Raw genomic sequence first — 22,318 nt, 5'->3', positions numbered from 1 at the left:
ACTCAGTTTTTTGCAGGATTTGAAGTTTTGAACTTTTACAAGTGTCAGAAAGGTAATTCACAAGTTTAGAGGAATGTGCTAAGGCACGAGTGGTGGGTGCTCCAGCCAGGGGTGGGCTGCAGAAGGGGCGCGGTGTCGCCGGGCTCCCCTCCGACCTCTGGGGTCCACAGTGCGGGCTTGGGCTGGGGAAGCCTCAGAGGTGCGTGCGGGGGCGGGTGCCGGCGCCCGGGCTAGGTGAGGGCAGAGGTGCGCGCTGCGCGTGGGATCAGCCCGGCGCCGACGGGTGGCTCCGAGGAGCTCGCTCCTTCCTCGCCCCCGCCCCCTCGCCGCGCGGGGCCAGCCCGGCCGCTCCTCCCCTGGGTGGGTCCCTGCTCCTTTTCTGGCAGGGTCTATTTGCATAGAGGAAACTGCCCAAAGTGGCCGCTGTGGAGGAGCTGGCTGCGGCGAAGGGGGCGTGCGCGGCGATCCGCTGCTACCCGGAGGCTAACCCCCGCGCCCGGCGGACCTCGTGCCTCGGGCTGTCCCGCCTGCTCCTCTCGCACCCAGCCTCTGCCCCAGCAGCACCGCCCCCTCGGAGAGTCCACGCGCGACGAACGCGCCATGGGCCCAGGCGAGCGCGCCGGTGGCGGCGGCGACGCGGGGAAGGGCAATGCGGCGGGCGGCGGCGGCGGAGGGCGCTCGGCGACGACGGCCGGGTCCCGGGCGGTGAGCGCGCTGTGCCTGCTGCTCTCCGTGGGCTCGGCGGCTGCCTGCCTGCTGCTGGGTGTCCAGGCGGCCGCGCTGCAGGGCCGGGTGGCGGCGCTCGAGGAGGAGCGGGAGCTGCTGCGGCGCGCGGGGCCGCCAGGCGCCCTGGACGCCTGGGCCGAGCCGCACCTGGAGCGCCTGCTGCGGGAGGTGAGCGTCTTGGCGCGTGGCTGGGGCGGACTTGGGTGTGTCGGGTTGAGGGTGGCGGTACGCTGGGAGCCGGGGGCAGCGTGCAGGTCTCTGGGAGGAGGGTCGCCCGCCGGCTGCGTGCGCTCGGGGCCGTCCCAGAGATGGGCACGTCTGCGCCAAGGCGGAGGCAGGGGGTGCCGGCCCCAAGGGGTTTTGCGGTCTCCGCTCCGGCCTCAGGGTCCCGTGCCAGGCAGGCGGCCGCGAGAAAGGGGAAGGAGAGACCAGGGACTTTGGAGTAACAGACCTAGGGTCAGTCTCCACGGGGTGTGCGCTCGGACACGCCGCTTCCCGCCGGCGGCCAGAGTCGGGGATAAAGATGAGGCTCGTGGGAAGTATCTGGTGACTGTGACCAGTAGCACCTACTGTTCCTAACCAACGCTGGTACACCTGGAGAGGCGGTGGTCACGGCGGAGGAAAGCCTCAGACAGGCCCGAGGGCTGGGCCCCGCTGTGCTCCAGTGTGTCTCCAGCAGCTCAGGCCCCAAGACTGAGCGGTCACCGTCGCACTGAGGCCTCGGGGATGGGGGTGGGGGCGCCCACATGACTTGGTAAGATGAGAGGAAGGAGAAACAATCGGGGGTGGAGGACCTGGATTCTGGTTTCAGGCGGTGCCATCTGGGGTGTGGGCTCGCAGGACATCCGGAGTTTCCCGTCCCTTACCTGGGAATCGCGACTTCCACAGCTTACTTGAAAGCTCATATGAGGCTCTGTGACACTTCTAAGGGTTAAGATTGCTGCTGTGTGTCTTCAAAGAAAGAGCCACCTTTGGGTCCTCCAAGCCCTCACCCAGCATGTTGGTCAAAGCCTCCGCCTTTTGTGTGCGGCATGTGCGGCAGTTCCCCTCCCCACGAAACTGGACAGGCCCTGGTGGGCTGGCCAGAGCCTCCCCTGCCGAGCCTTCCTCCTTCTCCTGGGATAGATGGCTGCTCCAGACCCCAAGGTCGCTGTCCAAGGGCGCATCCTCAATTGCTGTGTGAAAACAGGCAGGGTTTCAAGGTGGAGGAGAGGGAGCACTGGCCTGTACACCCCCAATTCCCTAGACTGCCCAGCTGGGATCTTTATTAACGTATCCAGCTGTGTTTCCAATGTTGAGTTCCTTTGGATTCCAAAGGAAAGTGGGAGAAGATGACTTGCGTACCACACCTCCTTGTTCACCCCACCTGTTTCTTAGTCACTTTAATTTAAGCTAGGATCACATCTCTTCTAGCTGGGTTCTGGGTAAAATTGCTGCTTCATGAAATGATTTCCTATTTTACCCTTGAAAGGGCCTGCAGACTTAAAACTCTCTCTCAGCCCTGCTGGAAACTCCTGGCGATGGTTTCATAATTGCCGCCCATTAGCTTTTGGCAAATGCCTGGAGACCAGGGTGTTGAATTGATTTATAGAGGGCCAGTAAAGTTTCTACCTGTTAGCGCTATAAGTGTGGCTGCTCTTTCTCATAGGAGGCCTCTCTTATTTGCTAAAAATAAACCGCAAGCCCTGATTGAGTAAATCAGAAGTCCTGATACAACCATTTTACAAGGAACTACAAATTGTGTCTATTTTAGGAGGGAGGGGCATCCTGGGCAGGCAGCCACTGCTGGGAAGTGTTGATTTTTGAGTCCTGAACTTCAGCGGGAGAGACTGCAGTTGCTCTCCCAGGCTTCCCCCCTCCCGGCTGCACTGAATTTTACCTGGGTGAACTACAGTGCTTGAACAATGAGTTATTGGACAGGGTGTGTGTTCTCTCTCTCTCTCTGTTCTTGATTAGAAAGGCAAGAGAAAAATTTAGAATCCAGGGAACCCTGTATTCTGGAGAATTTGCCGTGCCATTCACACGTGGTCCTGCTCGCTAATCCCAGCTGGGTATCTGAGGCGCATGCTGTGCGTGGAGTGTAAGCTGGCTGGGTTTTCCCGCCAGTGGAGAGTCAGAGATGGTGCAGTATGAATGCAGTTGGGGCTGAACTTCTGGTTGTTTGGGTGGCCCCTGTGAGACAGCTTCTCTCTCTTAGGGTACCAGCCTGTTTCTGCTAGGAGCTATTCTTCTTGTAAATGTCACTGGATGGGAAATGTACACAGCCTGGCCGGTAACAATGAGTTCCTTGGCTGGGAGGAGAGCACTGTGGGAGGCACATACAGGGAGTGAGTAATTAACTCTAATTAGATGTATAGATACTTTTTCAAGCCATTAGATATGAAAGCCAAATAAATATTGAACTCAAAATCTCGGAAGAAAAGAACATTTGTACTTGAAGCTGTTTTTCAGTTCTGATTTGTTCTCAGTGAAGCCTCTTTTCCGTGTATGTGAGTGTGCGGGCAGCTTGTCCTACAGCAAACTTGTTTCCAGAGAACCAGAGGCAGAAACCATGTCCACATTAAAGAAAAGACATCCTTGCCAACCATACATGGCTTTAATGTCAGGGGGAAAGAAGCCAACAAAAGCCACTGTGAATATGGGACCCACTCTCTTTGTTCCCTTGGGAACAGAACTGTGAAATAACTTTTTCTGGGACCGGCTGATGTGCCCGATAATGAAGATACAGAAGCTACAAGAAAGGAATATTCATGTCAACTCATGATCATTAAAGACCCTTCCCATGGCACACAAAGGAAGAGATAAACAAGATTTCTGAGTAAGAGCCATGAACGATCGTATCTTCACTATGATGTGAAAATATTCATGCAAAAAAATCTAATATTTTCCTCTTAAAGTGCTTTAAATAGGTTGCCTAAGTAATCAATCCCCCCATCTTATACCTATAGTTACAATGTTATAAAAGCTTAAAACTTTAGAATACATGGCTTTCATAATACAGTAAAAAATGTAATGCAAGGATTAAAGAAATATTTAGTTGTATTCAGAGGAGACCATGCCAGCTTACAATGGATTTATTGTTGGCTGTTGGCCTTCCATTGTCCAGACCAATCAGTTTGAAAACAAGAAAAGCCCAGAGACTCGAGTAAAGTTTACGCATTTTCCTTTTCTCTTATCAACTCTGTATATTGGTTAAATACTGTCAACCCAGAGTCAAATGGAGATTTTTCAGCCTCTTTGGTGGTTTGTCTACTTGTCAGGGCTGCTCTCTGCTGTCAGTTTTAATTAAGATGCCTATTTTTGAATTCCATGGCACAACTGGAGATGCAGTGTAAATCATAGCTACATTTGTTTCCTTGACATTTCCTGGCTCCCAAAACAACAAAAAAAAGTTTCCTTTCAATGACTTCTTGGCATGTTCACTTTCTCTCTCCACTCTTTTCTTGTCCTTTTTTTTTTTTCCTTGCAACAGTTTGGGAGAGCTTTATAATAATAGTAGCATGTTTAGAATGAGCCAAGGATTGGGGCGTTCCTTTCACAGACATATTTTGTCATTTTGGATTGGACTTTTCCACATCGGCTTTGAAAATTTGAGGCATGGCCCCTGAGGTTGGGGAATCTGTAAGCTGAATGAATTTATACCAGAGGCAGAGCAGAGCAGACCATGCCTGAGGTTTCCTATCAGCAGAAGAGAGTTTGAGGCCTGGTCCCACCATTTACCAGCTCTGTCATCCAACCTCTTCCACTGCCTCTCCTCTGATAGTGTGGTCACAGCTCCCATGTATGCAAATATGATAACAGACAGGAAAAGTACAGGATGGTAAATATGCTTTTGATGGGAAGTAACAGAATATCTGAGTGTCCTTTCTTAGCACACACTACAGGAGAAGCTTGGAAGACGGTCAGCGCATCCTGGGTCTGTCAGCGACTTGGCCACACCTGAGTACCACTCAGTCTCTGCCGTTCTCTTGTCCTTTCCTCATGGTCACAAGGTGGCTGCTGCAGCTGTGAACCTATGTCTTCACCCAAGAGTAGCCTGGGTAGAAGGGAAGGGGGCAGGGAAGAGAGCGGTCTTCTTGAGAGGTTGTCTCTTTAATTTCAATTCAGGGGAAAACTTTCCCACCTTTCGGCAGACTTACAGCCACTAGCCAGAGCTAGGTCACAGGGTCGCCATCCCCTTCACTGGCAAGGGTAATGCGATCGCCATAGGAGGCTTTGGCCAATCTTGACTCATCCCCTGAGGCTGGGCGTGTTGCCGCTGGAACAGAATCGAGGCTTTGGTAGGAAGGAAGACTGGGCATGGCTACTGGGGAGCAACCAACAGGGTCAGCCAGGGCTGTGGAGTGTTACCCCAGCGCCATCCAGGGCTGTAGGGCATTACCCCAGCGCCATCCAGGGCTGTGGAGTGTTACCCCAGCGCCATCCAGGGCTGTGGAGTGTTACCCCAGCGCCATCCAGGGCTGTGGAGTGTTACCCCAGCGCCATCCAGGGCTGTGGAGTGTTACCCCCAGCATCAACCAGGGCTGTGGAGTGTTACTCCAGCGTCATCCAGGGACGTGGAGTGTTACTCCAGCGTCATCCAGGGCTGTGGAGTGTTACCCCCAGCATCAACCAGGGACGTGGAGTGTTACCCCAGTGTCAACCAGGGCTGTGGAGTGTTACCCACACATCAGTCAGGGCCGCGGAGTGTTACCCTAGAGTCAGCTGGGGCCATAGAGTGTTACCTGAGCGTCAGCCGGGGCCACAAGTGTTACCCCAGGGTCAGCCGTGGAGTGTTACCCCAGTGTCTGCTGGGGCCATGGAATGTTTCTGTTGTCACCCCAGAGGAGGGTGGGGCAGAGCGGGGGTTCAGTCATCCACTGGCCCGCCTAAGTTCTCATAACTGGGCCTTCCTTCTGCTTTGGTGTTTCCCAAGGACCACATTTTGGGAACATTCTTCAACCACAAAATTTCTGCCTCCCCTGGGGCTCTGCTGTCCAGCTGTGCTGCCGGCCACAGCTGAAGGGAAGGTTGATGGGTTTGGGATTGTCTCTGGCACAGTCCCGTTGGTTGCAGTCTTTGGCCTTTAACCCTTGAGCAGATGCTGTTCTGCCCCCGAAGTGAGTGACTAAGGGTGGCACTCTAGGACATTGCTTGCCAGCTTTCCCATATCATAGCACATGCAAAGAATGGTAGCACTTCCCTCACTGCAGGAAGGGAAGAGGACACTAGGCTGGAGGTGACCAGCCACTCCCCAGCCCCGAAGGACCAAGGTAGTCAGTCTACCAGAGACCACATACAGTGCACCTGCACCCACTCGGTGTGTCTGGGAAGCTCTGTTACCCCCTACTATCCTGCCTTTCCCCCAGCTCCTTGGCTTTCTTAGCAGCCATATCTGACTGTGGCCTCCAAATCCCCTTCCAGAGCAGGTGCAGTTACAGTCATGGTCTCCAGAGCAGGCTGTCCCTCCTTCCCTCACCGAGCAGCAACCCATTAGCTTCAACCTTTCTAGATGCCTTTGGATCCTTTTACCCTCAAATAGCAATGTGACATGACTCCAAGATGGTGCAGCTTAATTTCAAAGAATTCAGGCTGGGGCGTGGTGGTTCACACCTATAATCTCAGTGCTTTGGGGGACCAAGGTGGGTGCATAACTTGAGCCCAGGAGTTCAAGACCAGTTTGGATGATATAGCAAGACCTCGTCTCTATTTAAAAAAAAGAAAAAAATTTATATGTATTTATTTCTAGGTGTGTGTGTGTGTGTGTGTGTGTGTGTGTGTGTGGCCAGGTGCAGTGGCTCACACCTGTAATCCCAGCACTTTGGGAGGCCGAAGTGGGTGGATCACCTGAGGTCAGGAGTTCGAGACCAGCCTGGACAACATGGCGAAACCCTGTCTCTACTAAAAACACCAAATTTAGCCAGGCATGGTGACATGTGCCTGTAATCCCAGCTACTTGGGAGGCACGAGAATCACTTGAATCCGGCAGGCGGAGGTTGCAGTGGGCCAAGATCATGGCACTGTACTCTAGCCTGGGTGAGTACATCTCAAAAAAAATAATAATCAGCTGGGCATGGTGGCGCAAGCCTGTAGACCAGCTCCTCGAGACACTGAGGTGTGAGGATTGCTCGAGCCCAGGTGTTTAAGGTTGCAGTGAGCCATGATTGCGCCACTGCACTCCAGCCTGGGTGACAGACTGAGGCTGTTTCAACAACAAATAAAAATTGGGGAGAAAGCAGGGGGTTATTAATTAGCTTGAGTAACGGAGAAGTCCAGGCTAGTGTCTGTGTAGGCCCGGCTCAAGGTGCCTGGATTTTGTTTCTTCCTCTTGGCTCCATATTTCTCAAGGATGCCCTCACTCTCCCCATAAAGTGCCAGGGAAGCTTCCAGCAACTCCAGATTCACATCCTTAGTGTTAGTTTCTGTTTTCCAACAGTCCCAGCAGAAATTCCCTAATTCCCTCTGATGGACCAGTGTGGATTGCCTGCATTTATCAGTACAGACAGCCTGCATCTAACAATACGGATTACCCGTCCTGGTCACTGAGACCCGCAGGGCAGCCTCTCGATGGGCGAGGCTCAGCTGCGTCTGTGTGTGTGTGTTCATGTGTGTGCACGATCAACCCCACTGGAGCTCTAGGGACCAAGAAGTGAAAGCTGATCCCAAAGGACAATTTGGAGTGGTGTTATTGGAAGAAAAGGGAGAGGACATGAGGCCGGCAAAACCAGTAGGTGACCATCCAAGGAATAGGGTGAGAAGCTTGGGCTCTAAGCTGGAGCTGTGTTCTAGAGAAATTCCACCTCAGTGGCATGAAACTCAATGAAAGGATTTTTGATCCAGTGGGGAGGCCAGTGGGTGCTTGTTCTCTAGGGGTTTATGTACATTGATAAATTTGGGTTTATCGGTAGCAGTGTCGAAATCTGTGTTTCTCTGTATATACTGTGCTTACAAAATGTCAGCTTTACAAGTTACTTCAAATCCTAAAAGTTGCCCACAACAGCCTCATGAGATGTACAGACAGAGGTTACTGACATTGTTTTACAGGGGGAGAAATGTCACAGAGGCGGAAGAGCACGCAGGGCCAGGCCTGAGCTCCCTTAGGTTTGCAGCCTGCCTGGGAAGAAGGGAGTGAAAGGGACGAATGTCTGCGAACCCTGTGTGTGGGTTTGGCACTCAGTCTGGGACAGTGCGGGTGTGCCCAGGTCAGGCCACCTACTCCCAGGTCCCTGTTTCTCTGCCCACTTTCATCAGCTTCCTGGGGAATGTTCTCACGGGGAGTGTTCTCAGAGGATGTCTCTGGCCTGGTTGGGGAGTCTGGGGAGTACCCCAAGTCCTCGGGACCTGGAATGGTGAGGTGCATGTAGCCTGGGGGTAGTCACGCCTTGCTTGGTGCTTTTGGAGGGCGGAGTCTGGAAGAGGAAAATGCTGAGGGCTGGAGGGGAAGGCTCTAGATGAGGAGCCTGGGGGCCTCTCTGAGCCTCAGTTCTGGCTGTGAGGTGGGGCTGGCGCAGCCAGGGGTGCGCTGTGAGCCCTGTGCCCCGCTGTCCTCTGCTTTCAGGACCTCGCGAAGTGTGGATGTGATCCTGCACCTTCAGAGGAGCCCTCTCTGCCCCACAGATTTCTACGTTGCTCCCTTCTCTCGAAATAATTCTGAGTCCCTCCCTGGGGCAGTGGCGGGTGTTGGGGAGGTGGAGATCCTTCACAGTGCCCTCCTCCAGGCAGCTGCACATCGCATTCTTGCCCCTTGACGTGCCCATTAGCGCTCCAGCTCCTGCTGCCGCTGAGCTGTGGCTGCCTCCTTTACCTAGACTCTCAGGTCGGGAAATGGCATAATGGCTTGCCCATCCTTCTCTCCCTTCCTTTTTTTTTTTTTTTTTTTTTTTTTTGAGATAGAGTCTCGTCCTGTCTCCCAGGCTGGAGTGCAGTCGTGTGATCATAGCTCACTGCAGTCTTGAACTCCTGGCCTCAAACAGTCTTCCTGCCTCAGCCTCCCAAAATGCTGGGATTACAGATCTAAGCTACTGCACCTGTTCCCCCTGCCCCGCACTTTTTTCTTTTTTAAATAACCAAGCTATGTCTTGATTTAGCATGATGAATGTTACCCTATAATCTTACCATCCTAAACCAAGGGCTGTTTAACTTTCTGCGCAATCCTTTCTCATCCATCATGTAGACAGATATTTGCTTACCTAATTTTAACCACAGAATGCATACCATTTTTACCTTGCTTTTAAACTGTACATCAGACACATTTTTCCAGGTGATGGCTCATCTTTAGGGTCATGTGTGATGACTGTACCGTATATCCCATCAAGAAAATCTTGCATATCCCATCAAGAAAATCTGCATCCTACTATCAACGTGGCATACACCCTCCCCCTATTTTTGTTAGTGCAGATAATGGTACAGTCAGTGGTTTTGAGGGGAAAGTTTCTTTCTTCTGTTATTCTTTGGGATGTGGAGTAACTGGATACAGAAGGATGTCTTTCGGGCTTTGTTTTTCGTTTTAATTTTTTTTTTTTTTTTTGAGACGGAATCTCACTCTGTCGCCCAGGCTGGAGTGCAGTGGCATGATCTTGGCTCACTGCAACCTCTGTCTCCCGGGTTCAAGCGATTCTCCTGCCTCAGCCTCCCGAGTAGCTGGGATTACAGGTGTGTGCCACCATGCCTGGCTAATTTTTGTATTTTTAGTAGAGTTGGAGTTTCACCATGTTGGCCAGGATGGTCTTGAACTCCTGACCTCAGGTGATTTGCCTGCCTTGGCCTCCCAAAGTGCTGGGATTACAGGCATGAGCCACCACGCTCAGCCTCGTTTTAATTTTAGAACATCTGAGTTTGAGACAGACAGGTTTCTCCTCCTGTGGTATTCGGAAGCTGTGGGACCATTATGAAATTGTGCTTCAAGTTTTATAATGGGCAACGTGGATTCAATATATCTTTTAGTTGAATTTTTAATTTCAGTTGGATTTATCATTGTTGTCGAAAGCAAAAAGCAATTGATAACAAAGAAAGCCTTTAAGTTTGAAAGTTTCATTTCAGAATGAAACCCCTGTATCAGTTTGGTGTGGAAACTTTATTTCTTTTTGAGATAGAGTCTCGCTCTGTCACCCAGGCAGGTGTGCAGTGGTGTGATGACAGCTCACTGCAGCCTCCGCTCCTGGACTCAGGTGATCCTTCCGCCTCAGCCTCCCGAGTATCTGGGACTACAGGTGAGCACCACCACAGCTGGCTAATTTGTAAAGTTATTGTCTTGCTGTGTTGACCAGGCTGGTCTTTCACTGCTGGACTCAAGCAGCCCTCCCACCTTGGCCTTCCAAAGTGTTGAGATTACAGGCATGAGCCAACCACACCCGGCCAGAAACCTTTCTTGAGCAGCATTTAGTGGTGCCAGGCACCGTGCTTGGTCCTCACTGTGATTTGTCGTTATGTGAACGAATGTAATTCAGTTTGGGAAGATTCTCCAGAGGCCACACACCACCTCCAGCTTTCTCCCTTATGCAGTTTTCATCATGTGTTGAATCAGGATTAATCTTTAACTGTTGACATAGGCACGCAGAGAACATCCCTTCATCATGTCCAGAAACATATTTCAGGACTAAGCACGAACCATTGGGGAAAAAAAAAAAAGCTTGCAGATGTCCTCTGAAAGTCACGTGTCGGCGTACTTCTAGAGGCTATAGGAGAAACAACTGTGTGCGTCCCATGTGTGTCCTGGGCAGAGGATTCACATGTCCTCTAGTTTCTTTCTTTCTTTTTTTTTTTTTTGAGATGGAGTCTCAGTCTGTTGCCCAGGCTGGAGTGCAATGGCACGATCTCGGCTCACTGCAGCCTCTGCCTCTCAGGTTCAAGTGATTCTACTGCCTCAGCCTCTGGAGTAGCTGGGATTACAGGCATGCGCCATCACACCCGGCTAAGTTTTGTATTTTTAGTAGAGATGGAGTTTCACCATGTTGGCCAGACTGTTCTCTAACTCCTGATCTCAAGTGATCCACCCGCCTTGGCCTCCCAAAGTGCTGGGATTACAGGTGTGAGCCACCATGCCCGGCCTCATGTCCTCTAGTTTCTCAACAGCCTCCTCTCTCTACAGCTGCTCTATCGTGGGTAAGATGGGATCCAGCCTCCCAGAGAGGGGCAGCGATTGGCCCCTGGTGGCAATGGGCACCTGAACCTAGGTGACCCAGTAACCTCACTCCTAATCCCTAGCCCTTTCCACAGCCTCATGGCAGACCTGGTGGAAACAATGATTTGGCTTTGAGCAGCAGCTTTTTCTGCGAGTGTGGACATCCTTGTAGACATCTGTAAGTGATGGATGCGTGGAGTGGCAGGGAAGACTTCAGCCTTGGCCAGACGCGGTGGCTCATGCCTGTAATCCCAGCACTTTGGGAGTCTGAGGCAGGTGGATCACAAGGTCAAGAGTTCGAGACCAGCCTGGCAAACATGGTGAAACCCCGTCTCTCCTAAAAGTACAAAAATCAGCCGTGCGCGGTAGTGGGTGTCTGTAATCCGAGCTACTCGGGAAGCTGAGGCAGGAGAATCTCTTGAACCCGGGAGGCAGAGGTTGTAGTGAGCCGAGATCTCGCCACCACACTCTATCCTGGGCGACAGAGCAAGACTCCGTCTCAAAACAAACAAACAAAGACTTCAGCCTTGAGGACACCCAGGTTCACATCCCAGCACTGCTATTTTCCAGCTGTGTGACCTCCGGTAAATGAGTGTTTTTCCAAACCTCAGTTTGCCCATCTGTTAAACAGGGATTATAGTACTTGTCTCACAAAGTTTCTGTGAGAATTAAACAAGGGGATGTATCCCAAGCGCTCAGCATGTCGTGCACACCCTGAACATGGCTGCTGGTATTAGAGTTTTTTCTTTGACTGAATTTGGAAGGAATGTCTACATCTGTTTGCTAATCGAGGTCCCATGGTGACACGGCTGACTTTAAGATTCTTTTAACACCGGGATTCTGCCATCCTATTAAGGATATACAGAAGCAAAAAAGCTGTTAGCACATGTCCAGCCTCTGAGTCAAGGAGCAGAGAAATGTGAGTTGGTTGTTGAAGAAATGCAAAGACTGAATTTGCTTCATGACCCCATTTTTTGGTTTATCATTTGAGCAGACTGAGACTTTCCATTAATTTTAAAAAGTCATGACCAAAATAAAAATAAAATTATTCATGAAAATAATTGTATGGATTTGTCATTGTGAAAGGGCACACAAATACCTAATCAATTTGCTTTAATTAAGAGAGTCCTCTGTCTCAAAAAAAAAAAGTCTGCTTTTATAATCATGCGGTATGGCGGCAACACGGCGAAATGCTCGTGGTTAACCTGGTGAGCTAGAGGCTTCACACACATCTGCTTCGCTTCACACTGGGAAATGAGAAAATCTATTCTCCTGATGTAGCCACGGAATTTTTGGGGGGCAGGGGTGGGTGGGGGAAGGCGGTGCTTGCAAATGGGTAATGGCAACTTCTAAAATGGAATTTGTTTCCAACTCTGAGCTGTGAAACAAGGCATAAAGCAATTAGAATGTATTTGAAAAGACAGTTTAAATAAAATCTACTCAACTTTGGGCCTCCCGGGAGGAACATCACACAAAAAATGCCGGATCTGCTCATTGATTTGACTGTGCTTTAACTGCGCCTTTTTGCGTGGGGCTTGGGCGGTTATATTACCTCCTGCAGCCTCCTTTCAGACCAGGCTTGTGGTGCAGTCAGGAAGGGAAGATTCCCATGATGTCAAGGGGACTCGAGTGTGTGTGAGCGTGAGCTAGTGTGAGGGTGGAAGTGTGTATGTGTGTGCCAGGAGAATGCATGCATGTGTGTGTACATGGGTGTGTGTGCACGTGTGTGCCAGGAGTATGCATGTGTGCATATGTGTGTGTACATGGGTGTATGTGTGCACGTGTTTCATGTATGCATATGCACGTAAGTATGCCTGTGTGTGCATGTGTGTGCATGCATGTGTGTGTGTGCATGAATGTGTGCATGTGGGCGTGTGCATGCATGTGTGTGTGCATGAGTGTGTGTGTGCATGTGGGTGTGTGCATGCACGTGTGTGCATGCTGTGTGGGCACTGTACAGGCATCTCACTTAGACAGTGAGAGACTTTATAAGGTCCCCAGATGGGACCAGCCTGACCTTATCGCCTCACTGTGGAAGTTATCCCGTCCAAGTGTCCCCGAAAGACCCTGTAGCTGGGCCCTGACGGCTCATGCAGTGGGCTTTAGAATTGGGAAGCCTGGGTCTGAGTCCAGAGCTGCCTCTGAACCGGCCAGCGTCCTGGGACAAGTTGGTTGACCTTTCCGAACCTCGGCTTCCTCTTCTGGAAAGGGGCTGGCCGAATCCGCCTCGCTGGTCTTGGTGAGGACTGAGCAATGGCCCTTCTGGGGCTGCCCCGCGGGGGCGCAGCGCGGCCAGAGGAGCCCCCTTGACACTCGCTCTGGTCTGGGCTGGTACAGAGACCCCATCCAGGCAGCGGGGGGCAGGCGCGGGTTCTGGGAGGGCCCTGGGCTGTTCCCCAGGTCTCCTCCCCAGGCCCCGCGCGCCAGGCCCTGCTGAAAGCCCCAGCGGATTCCCCGGGTCCTGTCCTCGGTGAGTGCCTGAGCTTCCCCCTACAGCACCACGCCGAGGTGGCGGTGTCATGGGCTGAATCGTGTGCCTCCTTCCCGTGGCGAAGTCCTCACCCCTGGGCCTCCGGATGCGGCCGCCCTTGGGGATGGGGTCTTTAAAGAGGCGGATGAGGTGGCACAGGTCGTTGTGGGGGGGCCCTGATCCAACAGGGCTGGTGTCCCGAGAAGAGGGGAGACGCGGCCAGCACGCTGGGACCACCAGCCGCAGGGAGAGGGCTCGGGAAGAAGCAGGCCCCGCCAGGACGCGGGAATGAACGGCGCGCCGCGCCCCGGGCTCCGGACCACCCGCGGGATCCCCGGACGGCAGAGCAGGGACCCGCTGGGCCTTGGGAGTTGGGCTGAGCGAGGAGCGCCGGGGCCTCGGCCCACAGGGCGCGGAGGCGCAGACGGCGACAGGGAGGACCCCGGCGGGGAGTCCTCAGGCAGAAGCAGTACCGCGCTAGGGACACAGGCGCCGGCCGCTGCCCGAGGAGGGGCCGCTCCCCGGGCGCTGCGCTGGGGCCGGGGCGCAGCGGGGAAGACGTCTCCGCGGGGCTGACCCGGCAGAGCGGCCAGCGCCGCGCTGCTCGCCTGGTCCAAAGCCGAACCCAGGCGGCCTCCCGTGCGCGCAGGGGGAGGGGCGGCGCTGCCCGAGAGGCCCGCGCTGGAGGCGGAGGCCTGGCGCCTCGGAGGACAGGACCGAGAGGCCGGCGCGGCGGTCGCCGGGGGACCCGTTGGGGCTTTTCGCAGGGCCTGGCGCGCGGGGCCCGGGGAGGAGACCGCGGCCGTGGGGAGGAGAGAGTTCGAGGATCAGGAACAGCCCGGGGCCCTCCACGACCCCGCGCCTGTCCCCGCTCCTACCGCCTGGATGGGTCTCTGCGCCAGCCCAGCATGGTGAACCCTGGAGGGCGGGTTCTGAGAAGCCGTGTGTGTCTTTGAAAAATAATGAGGACGGGCTCGGTGGGTGGCTCACGCCCGTAATCCCAGCACTTTGGGAGGCCGAGGCGGGTGGATCACGAGGTCAGGAGTTCGAGACCAGCCTCGCCAGTATGGCGAAACCCCGTCTCTACTAAAAATACAAAAATCAGGCGTGGTGGGGGGCGCCTGTAGTCCCAGCTACTTGGGAGGGTGAGGCAGGAGAATCGGTTGAACCCGGGAGGCGGAGGTTGCAGTGAGCTAACATCATGCCACTGGACTCCAGCCTGGGGCGACAAGAGTGAGACTCCGTCTAAAAAAAAAGGATAATGAATGGCAACGCCAGTGGGCTATTGGGCAGCAGGGCAAGACTTTTTCAGCCAGTATGCTTTAGGGAACTGAACTTTGCTTGAAAAAACTACCTTCGCAAAATCACCCCCAACGGCTGTAAGTTGGAGCTCCCAGCATCGACTTGCTGCGCAAGGAGAAACACAGTCTGAAGGGGTATTGAGGGACTGCCAAAAGCACTGCGGCTTCGTGACCGAGCCCCTCTCGACATCACTGTCCAGGCCAATTTGAGTTGGGTTTTTATCCATCGCTACTAGAGGAATCAATGGATTGACTTGCTCGCTTGGAAGATTGTGAAGTAGTTGTGGCTACGGTCATATTCCGAACACCTGGTGTATGTGAGTTTCTCTGAGGACACATATGCCTGGCAAAACTCGGAGCAAGTGAAGGTGGACCTGGTCTCCGCTTCCTTCCTGTCCTGCGCCCCTTCTCCTCACCCCCAACACAATGGCTCATGCACTCTTCTTGCCTTTCCCAGGAACTGTCCTGCGTTCTGTTTCTGCTCTCACAGCAATCAGTCTCCTGAATAGTGAGGACCAGGTGGCAGGTGCCTTGTCTATGGGAAGAGCACAGGACCTGCTGTGGGAAGACTTGCTTTTTAGTTCCAGCTTTGCCACTGCCCATCTAGGTGGTCTAGGTGAGCCATGGAACTGCTTGAGATTTATCTTCCAAAAAGATAGGTGGAAATAATGATAATCCATGATCTTCTGCAGGAGCTCCTAGTGAGGGCCTAAGGAGGTAACACATAGGAGTGTGTTGTGAACGGCAAATTAACACGAAAAACATGTTGCTGTTAATAAGCAGCTGAATGTGTGGCTTTCCTTGGGAAATGCTGCATTTTCAAAGGGGGTCTTTGAAGAGGGGCCACTCCTTCATTCCCTACACGAGCGAAGCTGTAGTGGTGGAAAGACAGCCTTAGGAAGGGTTGTATTATTTTGAGGTTAAGAGGTGCTTCCTAACTGCCCAATTATCCCTTAGTTTTGTGGCTGACTTCATTCCCAGGATAGTAGTTAAGACCTGGAGGTTCCTGTTTCCTAAAGGAGGACACTTTTCTTTTCATTAGAGGATATTTCTGCAGCACTCATAAGGCAAGAAGTGGTGTTGAAAAAGGATGGACCAAATGAACAGCCTGGCTCCCCTTGACCCTAAGAGTACAGGTGGGGAGCTGTGCGGAGCTGTCCTTTCCTTCTTCTGAAGGAAAAAGCGACTGACACATAAAAGATACCAGGATGAAGATTGCTAGTTAATGACTGCTAAGAACTTGAAAGCAAATGAAGAGTTGTCCCAAAAGAATGGGCTGGAAGTACTGATCTCACATGCCAAATCAGGTAAGTGCCTGGATTCCTATTGAGCAGGAGTGCTGGAGAAGGGACTCTGGTTTGAAGAGAAGTCAGGTGGATGGTGTCCTCATTCTCTCCAACTCGGAGATGCTAAGCTGAATACCTTCAGCGTTTAGCATTCATGAAGTGGGAAAGACAACATAGATTGTCTTACGTTTCTTGACACTGCAAACCGGTTGCCGCAAGAAACAGAATGCTGTATTTTTGAGCCACCCTTTTGGAGTAAGCTTCTCTCTCACAGTGTGTATATTTGTGGGGAAACAATGTATGTTATCTGAATGTCTCCCTGCAAGGAGCATTAAGCGGCTTCCAAACATTTCCCGGGAGCAACCTTTTCATTGGCGTCTGTGTAGCATCCAACCCCGTGGCGAGTAGAATGCTTGGACAAATGGAGGGGCTGGCACGGTTTCCTTGTGGGATTCCACTGAGAATTTCCCTCCACATCCTGCAACTTACTTTTTTTCTTTTGTTCTAACTCTTAAAAAAGAAAGGATATAATTTACACACAATAAAATCACAGATTTTAAGTGTAGAGTTAGATGGATGTTGACAAATATATGCGCCCATGACCAGCATCTCCAATAAGTACAGAATATTTTTAACATCTCAGAAAATTCCCTATGCCCCTTTCTTGTCTCCACCCAGAGGTAACCGCCTTCTTGCTTTCTATCACCAATAGCTCAGTTTTGCCTGTTCTAGAACCTCATATAAATAGAACCCTCAGGTCCAGGTGCGGTGGCTCATGCCTGGAATCCCAGCACTTTGGGAGGCTGAGGTGGGTGGATCACTTGAGGTCAGGAGTTCAAGAGTAGCCTGGTCAACATGGTGAAACCCTGTCTCTACTAAAAATACAAAAATTAGGCGGGCGTGATGGTGGGCGCCTGTACCCCCAGCTACTCAGGAGGCTGAGGCAGGAGAATCGCTTGAACCTGGGAGGCTGAATTTGCAGTGAGTGGAGATTGCATCACTGTACTCCAGCCTGGGTGACAGAGCGAGACTCTGTCTCAACAAAGAAAAAAAAAAAGAACCCTATGGTATGGTATGTCTTCTTTTATGTGTGGTTCCTTTGCTTAAAATAGTGCTTTTGAGATTTATTCATGTATTTGCACGTATCAATAACTCTTTGTATTATAGAGTAGTATTTCATTGTATGACTATATCACTATTCATTCTCCTGTTAATGAGCATTTGAGTTGTTTCCAGTATTGGGTTATTATTAATAAAACTGCTGTGAATATTTTCTACAAAAATAATTTTAAAAAATAATGAATGTGAATGTGAATGAAGGATTACTGAGGAATCCCATTTGTTTGTAGACCAACCCTTTCAAAACATGTTAATGTATTTCAGGACCTATCAGGGACCCTTGAGGAAATGCGTTTGCTGACGTGGTTTGAAAGAGAGTCACTCAGTGTGCCAATGGGAGTCACTGATTAAACCCACATTCTTAGAGAAAAGCCAAGTGGCTCCTGCCAAGTGCGGTGGCCGGGCCAGACGCTCTCACAATTGGCCTTTGCCATGACTCTGCTGGGTGCTTTACCTGTCACCGAACCCAGGCAGAACCTGAGGCTCAGTGTGATGCCTTCTGTACCCAGGACACACACTCTACCACCCACCAAGTCTGTAGAAGCCGCAGCCTGGGATTTTTGTTGTTTGCCTTTTTTTTTGAAGTATAATTGACATACAGTGAACTCCACAAATTAAAAATGCACAACTTAATAAATTTTGACATCTGTGCACAACTATGAAACCCTCTCCACAGTCTAGATAGGGAATGCATCCCTCACCCTCCAGAGTTTCCTCCTGCCTCGTTCAGTTCCCTCCCTTCCATCCCTCCCTGCCTGCCACCAACGTGCCACTGATTTTGTTACTATTGATTTCTGTTCATTTTCCAGGATTTTTCTCTGGGTGGAATAACACACTCTTTGTTCGTCTGGTTTCTTTCACTCAGTGTAGTTATTGAGAGATACTTTAGTATGTTTATGTAGTGCTTATACAAAGAACTGCTTTTGCACAATAGTTAATTCATTCTTTTTCATTACCGAGTATTACTTCACTATATGGATATACCACAATTTGTTTATCCATTCAGCTATTGATGGAAGTTTGGATTGTTTCCAGTTTTTGTCTATTGTAAATAAAGCTGCTATGGGTATTCACGTGCCAGTCCCTGTACGGATTTATTCTTTCATTTCTCTTGGATGTAAATACCTTGGAGTGGAATGGCTGAGCATATGATATGTGTATTATTAACTTTTTAAGAAACTGTTGCTGAAGGCCATCGCATCATTTCAGATTCCCACCAGCAGTGTAGGACAATTCCAGTTGCTCATGTATATGTCATTTTTCTCTGACTGCTTTTAAGATTTTCTCTTTATTGCTGGTTTTAAGCAATCTGATTATGATATATCTTGGTGTCGTTTTCTTGATTTTTTTTTGTGTGTGCTTGGGTTTCATTGTGATTCTTAGATCTGTGGATTTATAATTTTCACCAAATTTGAAAACACTTTTTGACTATTCTTCAAAATTTTTTTTTCTATTTTGCTCTTTCTCACTCCTCATTTGGTGACTCCAATTACACATATTTTGACCACTTGAAGTCCCACAGTTCACTAGTTGTCTTCTTTGTCTTTTCCTTTTAAAAATAATTCTCTGTGTGTTCATTTTAGGTAGTTTCCATTGCTGTCTTCTAGTTTATAATCTTTTCTTTGGCAATGTCTCATCTGCCATTAATCCCTTCCATCATATTTTTCATCTCAGACCTGGTAGTTTTCATCTCTGGAATTTCAGTTTAGGTCTTTTTTTTTTTTGTTTTGAGAAAGAGTCTCGCTCTGTCACCCAGGCTGGAGTGCAGTGGCGCAATCTCGGCTCATTGCAAGCTCCGCCTCTCAGGTTCACGCCATTCTCCTGCCTCAGCCTCCCGAGTAGCTGGGACTACAGGCGCCCGCCACCACACCCAGCTAGTTTTTGTATTTTTAGTAGAGACGGGGTTTCACCGTGTTAGCCAGGATGGTCTCAATCTCCTGACCTTGTGATCCGCCCGCCTCGGCCTCCCAAAGTGTTGGGATTACAGGCGTGAGCCACTGTGGCCAGCCCAGTTTAGGTCTTTTCAATACTTTGTTGTCTCTGCTGAGCTTTCTGCACATAGGCAGTACGGTTATAATAATTGCTTTAATGTCTTTGTGTGCTAATTCCAACCTCTGTGGCAGTTGTGGGCCAGTTTCAATTAATTAATTTTTTTGTTCATCATAGGGCCTATTTTCCTGCTGGTAACTTCTTATTCTTCTGCCAGACATGATGACTTTTACCTCATGAGATGCTGAATATTTTTGCATTTGTATATATATTCCTGGGCTGGAAATAGTTTGGTCCTTTAGGGTCTTGTTGGGATCCATTAGGTGGGACTAGAGCAGTGTTTCACCTAGGCCCTAGGGTTAATTCTTCCCTACTAGCAAGGCAGGGCCCTTCCTGGTGCTCCCCTAAGTATTTTATTTTTTATTTATTTATTTATTGAGACTGAGTCTCACTTTGATCACTCTGTCACCCAGGCTGGAGTGCAGTGGTGCGATCTTGGCTCACTGCAACCTCTGTCTCCCGGGTTCAAGCGATTCTCCTGCCTCAGCCTCCCAAGTAGCTGGGATTACAGGCACCTGCCACTATGCCCGGCTAATTTTTGTATTTTTAGTAGACACTGGGTGTCATCATGTTGGCCAGGCTGGTCTCGAACTCCTGATCTCAGGTGATCCTCCTGCCTCGGCCTCCCAAAGTGCTGGGATTACAGGTGTGAACCACAGTGCCATGCCTCTCCTCAGTACTTTCTCATGGTGGATTATGAGGTTTACTGGCCTGGCTGGTGGGATCGGGCATTCTCCCGGCCCCAGTGTGAATGCTGTCTGCGGTGCCCTAGAATCCTTTTCGGTGGTTCGTTCCCTGACCTCAGTCATTTCCTTGCCTGCAGGGGCTGATTAGGCCCTCTGCCTCCTACTCGAAGGGGATCCTCAGCAGATCTTGGTGGCTTTCATCTCTCCAGTCCTCTGTTCCGCACACTCTGACTGCCTCGGCCTCCCTTGGCTCTCAGCTCCATGTCTTCAATTCGGGAGGCTGCCAGGCACCACCCGCGTCCCCCCTCCATGTGCTCAGCCTGGCCACTCCCCAGGTGGGAAGCTAGAGCAGTTGTTGCCTGTCTCAAAGATCACTGTCCTTGCCTGCCTGTCCCTAGCATCTTCAAAATTATTGTTTTATATGCAGGAATACATTTGTGGCTTTTGTTGTTGATGTTGTTTAGGCAGAATGGCAAATCTAGTCATTGTCACTCTATGTTGCCTATAAGTGTAAATTCATGATCTGGTCTTTTTAAAATGTGGGGATGATTTTAGGTTTGTAGAAAAACTAATGTACTAATGTAGAAAAACATATGTACATAGTGTACATATGTACATAACCACAGTACATTGGTCAAAAGTAAGAAATTAGGCCAGGCACAGTGGCTCACACCTATAATCCCAGCACTTCGGGAGGCCGAGGCAGGCACAGATCACTTGAGCTCAGGAGTTTGAGATCATTTTGGGCAACATGATGAAACCCAGTCTCTACAAAAGATAGAAAAATTAGCCTGACTTGGCGGCACCTGTAGTCCCAACTACTTGGGAGGCTGAGGTGGGAGGATGACTTGAGCCCAGGAGGTCGAGGCTGTAGTGAGCCATGATGGTACCACTACACTCCAGCCTGGGTGACAGAGCAAGACCCTGTTTCAAAGGAAAAAAAAAAAAAGAAAAAGAAAAAGAAATGAACTGTGATACTCTGACAGGCAGAGTTCTAAGATGGTCTCCAACATTCCCGCTCCCTAGGGAACATGCTTTATACAATTCCCTCCTCTCCAGTATGGAGAGGGTATGATGGGCTATCTTCCTATGATTGAGTTACGAAGGAATCACTTGACTTTGAGTTAGTGAAAAAGGAGATTATTCAGTGGCCCTGACTTAACCAAGTGAGCCCTTGGAAGGGATGAGGACCCTCCTGAAGTCAGGGATGTGCAGCATGAAGGGGTGTGGAGGGGCTGTGTGGCAGGGAACTGTGAGCTGCCTCTGGGAACTGAGAGTACCCAGCCAACAGCCAGCAAGAGAATGAGGCCTTCCTGCTAAACCAGGAGGAACCACATGAACTTGAGAGAAGACTCAGAGCTCCAGGAAGAAACCCCCAGCTGACTCATTGATTTCAGCCTCGAGAACCTGAGCAGAGACCAACTGCAGTTATGCCCAGCCTCTGACCACACAAACTGTGATATAGTCAGTGTGTATTTAAACTGCTAACTTTGTGGCATTTGTTATACAGCAATAGAAAACGAATACAATTACTGTTAACTAAAGAGGATCAGATCAAATATATTAGTAACAATATCCCACTTTTAATGTAGCAAGATCTCAGTAAGGACTAATGTGAAGACCAGCACGAAACCATTGGAAAACTTCCACCAACGTTCAAGATGATGTTAACACGCTCATATTGCGTCTTGGTTGGAGGTGGTTAGAATCCTGATCAAGAATTTACGTGAGAAAATATTCACAAATCCTATATCTGATTAGGGTCTAGTATACAGATTCTATAAAGAGCTCCTACAGTTCAACAACAAAACTACACACAACCCAATTTTAACATGGGCAAAGGACTTGCACAGACATTTCTTCAAACAGGATATACAGATGAGCAACAAACACACGAAAAGTATCTCGACATCATTTGTCATTAGGGAAATGTAAATCAAACCCACAATGATATACCATTTCACATCCACCAGGATCTTTTGGCAAAAATGTGGAGAAATTGGAACTGTCATACGTTGCTGGTGGCAGTGTAAAATGACTCAGCCACTGTGGAAAAGAGTTTGGTGGGATCCTCAAAAAATTAAATGTGAAATTACCATATGACCCAGCAATTCCACTCCCAGGTTTATACCCCAAAGAATTGAAAACAGATACTCAAATAAAAGTAGACTCATGTTCACAGCAGCGCCGTACACAACAGCCAAAAGGTGGAAAGTGCCCAGATGTTCATCAGTGAATGGATGAGCAAATGGTAGTGTAGACACCATGCAATATTATTCAGTCATAAAAAGGAATGAATGATCCACGCCAATGTGCATGAGTCTCAAACACATCATGCTGAGTGAAAGGAACCAGACAAAGGGCAAGGAAATCACAAGTGGTGTTGATTCTGCTTATGTGAAATATACAGAATAGATAAATCCCACAGAAACAAAGCAGACTGGTGGTTGCAGGAGCTGGGGTTAGGGAGGAAAGGATACAGGAGTTCCTTTTGGGGTGATGACAGTGTTTTGAAAATAGAGGGGGTGATTGTATAACATTATGAATGTACTTAATGCCACTGAATTGTTCACTTTAAAATG

At 50.1% G+C, this 22,318-nt stretch overlaps 1 protein-coding gene across 11 annotated transcripts in view, besides 3 other annotated features; it reads left to right on the top strand.

The window, feature by feature from the left end:
* Positions 204–403: a silencer, noted in NCBI's record as "silent region_16721". NCBI's record gives its function as "represses an Ori minimal core promoter by ATAC-STARR-seq in GM12878 lymphoblastoid cells {active_cell/tissue: GM12878}" and the evidence as "EXISTENCE:reporter gene assay evidence [ECO:0000049][PMID:35858748]".
* Positions 405–22,318, top strand: part of COL23A1 (collagen type XXIII alpha 1 chain) — a 352,776-nt gene continuing 330,862 nt past the window's right edge. For 10 of the 11 annotated variants that reach the window (XM_011534691.3, XM_011534690.3, XM_011534688.3 and 7 more), the window contains exon 1: positions 405–894. In XM_011534691.3, coding sequence (XP_011532993.1) covers positions 601–894 — 294 coding nt within the window. In that variant the 5' untranslated portion in view covers positions 405–600. Of the gene's footprint in view, positions 895–14,491; positions 15,904–22,318 lie in introns of those variants that run through there. The other variant, XM_011534692.3, reaches the window with a different exon arrangement.
* Positions 1,059–1,959: an enhancer, noted in NCBI's record as "H3K27ac-H3K4me1 hESC enhancer chr5:178015840-178016740 (GRCh37/hg19 assembly coordinates)". NCBI's record gives its function as "activates a minimal SCP1, AML or CMV promoter by ChIP-STARR-seq in naive H9 embryonic stem cells {active_cell/tissue: H9 hESC(naive)}" and the evidence as "EXISTENCE:reporter gene assay evidence [ECO:0000049][PMID:30033119]".
* Positions 7,773–8,272: an enhancer, noted in NCBI's record as "H3K4me1 hESC enhancer chr5:178009527-178010026 (GRCh37/hg19 assembly coordinates)". NCBI's record gives its function as "activates a minimal SCP1, AML or CMV promoter by ChIP-STARR-seq in naive and primed H9 embryonic stem cells {active_cell/tissue: H9 hESC(naive and primed)}" and the evidence as "EXISTENCE:reporter gene assay evidence [ECO:0000049][PMID:30033119]".

The sequence above is a fragment of the Homo sapiens genome, chromosome 5 (genome assembly GCF_000001405.40).
Source record: "Homo sapiens chromosome 5, GRCh38.p14 Primary Assembly".
In the NCBI taxonomy this organism is placed as follows: domain Eukaryota; kingdom Metazoa; phylum Chordata; class Mammalia; order Primates; family Hominidae; genus Homo; species Homo sapiens.
Note: the sequence above shows the minus strand (reverse complement) of the source record. Positions and strands in the feature narration are given on the sequence as shown.